The sequence below is a fragment of the Homo sapiens genome, chromosome 11 (genome assembly GCF_000001405.40).
Source record: "Homo sapiens chromosome 11, GRCh38.p14 Primary Assembly".
NCBI lineage: Eukaryota > Metazoa > Chordata > Mammalia > Primates > Hominidae > Homo > Homo sapiens.
The window spans coordinates 27991201-27996214 of NC_000011.10; positions in this window are offsets into that span (position 1 = coordinate 27991201).

Sequence of the window (5014 nt, forward strand, 5' to 3'; positions counted from 1 at the left end):
TTTATTTTTCATACTTTACCTTTTCTAAATAAAGATGTATCTTACAGTTGATAGCATATCACTTTTACTGAAGCTGGGCATCAGTTATCAATGATCATTCTTGTGCATGTTTGAATATCAAAAGGATAACCATGAAAACTTCCAGAATGGGAGGTCAGTTATTTGGAATAAAATCTCAAGGACAATAATGGAGCACTCTCTTCACTTTCCTAGGAAACAAATGTTTGTGGGGAGGGAATGAAGGAGCTCAATCAGAACTGTTTAACAATGTTCTCAAGGAGGTCAGTAGTAGGCTAGCTTTACATAATTTCAAAGCCAGATTGAGAGCCTATCACTATGGCTTTTTGTTCCTTTATGGAATCTTTGAGAAAATGCTATACACGGACAGTAGTCAAAATGTGATTAGGAAAATTTGGATTCTTAGTGGGAAAAAGTTTTAGGAATATCTATGTTGGTAATTGTTTTGCATATATTTTCCTTGATGGGTATTGTGATGATGAATTTTATGTATCAACCTGGCTGGGCCCCAGTGCCCACATATCAGGTCAAGCATTATTCTGTATGTTTCCATGGGTGTATTTTTGGATGAGTCTTACATTTATTTATATCAGTAGACTCTGAGTAAAGCAAGTGTGCTTCATAATGTGGGTGGGCCTCATCCAATCCATTGAAGGCCTGAATGGAACAAAAGGCTGACCTCATCTAAGCTGGTGGGAATTATCCAGCAGACTGACTTTAGACTTCATGTGCAATATTGGTTCTTCTTGATTTCCCAATAGACTGCCTTTGGACTCGAACTAAAACTCTTTCCAGAGTGTCCAGCCTGCTAGCCTCTCCTATCAGATTTTGGACTGACTAAGCTTTCACAATCACATGAGTCAATTCCTCAAAATAAATATATTTATTTCTGTATACACATCCATATTGGCTCTGTTTCTCTGCAGAACCCCAATGTATATAGATCTAAACAATGACATATAACACAATTTTATCTTAGAAAAAGAGCTTCTGCAAGAAGAATAAGATCCAAATTCTTAAGCGACAGTGGTGTATGTTAGAGTTTATTTAATCAGCCATGAGTCTCTTCTTTTTTTTTCTTGGATATGTGAATTAATCATGCAAGTTATAATCGACAGTATTATGAACATGATGAAATAAGGTATTTAAAGAGATAATGATTGAAAAGTTCCCTGATAAAAGATCTCAATCTACAGATTTCAGATGTTCATTGAGTTTCAAGCATGATTTAAAAAGAAAGGGGAAAGAAAAGAAAGAAATCCACATCCAAATATAGTGAAAGTGTAGAAATAGAAAGCCAAAAACAAAGGGAAAAAATATTAAAGACATTGTCTTTAAAGGAGTAACAGTAATACTGACCCTGACTCCTCCTAATTAAAATCGGTGGAATGGATGTCATTAAGGCACTAAAAGAAAACACCTGCCAACCTAGAATTTTATAGCCAATCAAATATTCATCAAGTATAAATATGGTGCCAGCACGGTGGCTCAGGCATATAATCCCAACATTTTGGGAGGCCAAGGTGGGAGATTCACCTGAGCCTAGGAGTTTGAGACCAGCCCGGACAACATAGTGAGTGAGCCCTCATCTCTACAAAAAATTTTTTAAAAATTAGGTGGATGTGGGTAGTCCCAGCTACTAGGGAGGCTGAAGGGGAAGGATTGCTTGAGCCCAAGAGGTCAAGGCTGCAGTGAGCCGTGATTGTGCCACTGCACCCCAGCCTGGGCTACAGAGTGAGACCCTGTCTCAAAAAAATAAAATAATAAAATAATAAAATAAATAAAATAAAATAAAGCTGGGATAAGATAGTCTCCAGTAAATAAGTACTCATAAAATCCACAAGACAAACTGCTCTAAAGGGGATTTTTCAGGCCAAAAGAAAAGAGTACTTAGTGGCATCCAGAAGACACAGGAGGAATGGAAAGCAACCAAAATGCAAAGTGATGGGAATAAAGCTAAATCAACATTGTATAAAGATAGCAACTTTTTTAATGTTAAAATGTACAGCAAACTTATATATACACAAAAACATGTAAGTCAAGAGAAGGTAAATGAAGTGAAAGTGTGTAAAGGTCTTTGTATTGTCTGGGAGGAGGTAACATTGCCAAGTACCATTAGATTTTGGTAAGTCAATGGCGCATGTTATAATTTCTAGTGTAATTACTCACAGTAAAAGAAAGTATGCATTCAAACTAATAAAGAAAAATGTAACCAAAAAATTCAAAAGAATTTGATCAAGGGAGGAAAGGAAATATAATAATATAAATATAATAAAAAGACAAATAGCAAATATTAGATTAAACTACCTGAACTTGTTGCTTTATAAGAAAAAAATGGTCACACATTGCCAGTTTTATCTAACTCAACCTGTAGTAAGTAGATATATCCCTAAATCTATGAGGAATAATAATACAGGTATCAGACTTCACATAGGCAACACTGCATGAGCCAGTGAAGCAATATCTTCAGAGTTCTGGGTGGAAAGAATGCTAAATTTGGAATTATTTAATCACCCAAGCTACTAAGAGCCAAGTTGAGATATTTTTGGACAAAGAAGAACTTAATTGTCCAAAATTGTCTTATTTTTGGACAAATAAGAACTTAAGAAGTCTATGTCTACACACCCTCTATTGAAAAATTACCCAAGGAGATATAGTACCAAATAAAAAGCAAATCCAGGTATAGACTTGCTTTATGACACTTTGCTTTATTGAGCTTCACAGATTGTGTGTTTTTTACAAATTGAAGACCTGTGGCAAGCCTACGTTGAGCAAGTCCATTTTTCCAACAGCATGTGCCCACTTCGCATCTCTGTGTCACATGTTGGTAATTCTCACAATATTTTAAAATTTTTCATCATTATTATATTTGTTATAATGATCTGTGATCAGTGATCTTTCATGTTACTATTGGAATTGTTTTGGGGCACAATGAACCTCACCCATATAAGATGGGGAACTTAATTCATAAATGTTTGTGTCCTAACTGCTCTACTGACCAGTTGTTTCCTGATCTCTCTCCTTCTCCTCAGGCCTCTCTATTCCCTGAGACACAACAATATTGAAATTAGGTCAATTAATAACCCTCCAATTGCCTAATTTTTAAGTGTTCAAGTGAAAGGAAGAGTTGCACATCTCTCACTTAAAATCAAAACCTAGAAATGATGAAGTTTACCAAGGAAGACATGTTGAAAGCTGAGATAGGCTTCATGTGCCAAGTAGTTAGCCATGTTGTGAATGCAAAGAAAAGTTATTGAAGAAAATTAAAAATGCTACTGCAGTGAACACATGAATCATAAAAAAAGCAAAACAGCCTTACTGCTGACATAGAGAAAGTTTTAGTGGTTTGGATAGAAGATCAAACCAGCTACAACATTCCCTTAAGCAAAAGCCTAATCCAGAGCAAGTCCCTAGATTTCTTCAATTCTGTGAAGGCTGGGAGATAAGTGAGCAAGCTGCAGAAGAAAAGTTTGAAGGTAGCAGAGATTGATTCACAAGGTTTAACAGAAGACTTCTCCAGAACATGTAAGTGCCAGGTGAAGCAGCAAGTGCTGATGGAGAAGCTACAGCAAGTTATGCAGAAGATACAGTTAAGATCATTAATAAAAGAGGCTATACCAAACAACAGATTTTCAGTGGTGACAAAACAGCCTTCTACTGGAAGAAGATGCCAGCTTTCACAGCTAGAGAGAAATCAATGCCTGGTTCCAAAGTTTCAAAGGACAGGCTGACTCTCCCCTCAGGGGCTAATGCAGCTGGTGAGTTTTAAGTTGAAGCTAATGCTCATTCACCATTCCAAAAATCTGTGGGCTCTTAAGAATTACGCTAAGTCTACTCTGCCTGTGCTCTATAGACGAAATAACAAAGCCTAGATGAGAGTGTACCTGTTTATAGCATAGTTTACTGAGCATTTTAAGCCCACTGTTGTGACCTACTGCTCAGAAAGATTTCTTTCAAAATACTACTGCTCATTGACAATGCACCTCATCACCCAAGATTGCTAATGGAGATGTACAAAGGGATTAATGTTGTTTTCACGTCTGTTTACACAACATTCAGTCTGCAGGCCATGAATCACGGAGTAATTTCAACTATGAAGTCTTCTTATGCAAGAAATACATTTTGTAAGGCTATTGCTGCCATAAATGGTGATTCATCTGATGGATCTGGGCAAAGTAAATTGAAAAAACTTTTGGAAAGGATTTACCGTTCTAGATGCCACTGAGAACACTGGTAATTTTGGAGAGGAGGTAAAAATATCAACATTAATAGGAGTTTGAAGGAAGTTGCTTCCAACCTTCATGGGTGACCATGAAGGGTTCAAGACTTCAGTGAAGAAAGTAACTGCAGATATGGTGGACATGCAAGAGAATTAAAATTAGAAATGAAGCCTGAAGACGTGACGAATTGTTGCAATCTCATGATTAAACTTGGACAAATTAAGGGTTGCTTCTTATGGATGAACAAAAAAAGTGGTTTCTTGAGAAAGTTCACCATCTATTCCTTGTAAAGATGTTGTTAACATTGTTGAAATGATAACAAGGAATTTAGAATATGATATAAACATAGCTGATAGAGCAGCAGCAGAGTTTGAGATGATTGCCTCAAATTTTGAAACATCTACAGTAGGTAAAATGCAATCAAATAGCATCACATGCTGCAGAGAAATCTTCCATGAAAGGAAGAGTCAACTGATGTGACAAATTTCATTGCTGTCTTATTTTAAGAAATTGCCACAGCCACTCCAGCCTTCAGCAACTACCACCCTAATCAGTCAGCAGCCATCAATATTGAGGCAAGACCCTTCACCAGCAAAAAGACTATAACTCGCTGAAGTTTCAGATAATTGTTAGCATTTTTAGCAATAGGGCATTTTAAAATTAAGGCATGCCCACTGATTTGTAGATATAATGCTACTGCACACTTAATAGACTAATAGGATAGTATAAACACAACTTTTATATGCACTGGGAAACAAAAAAGTCCATATGATGGC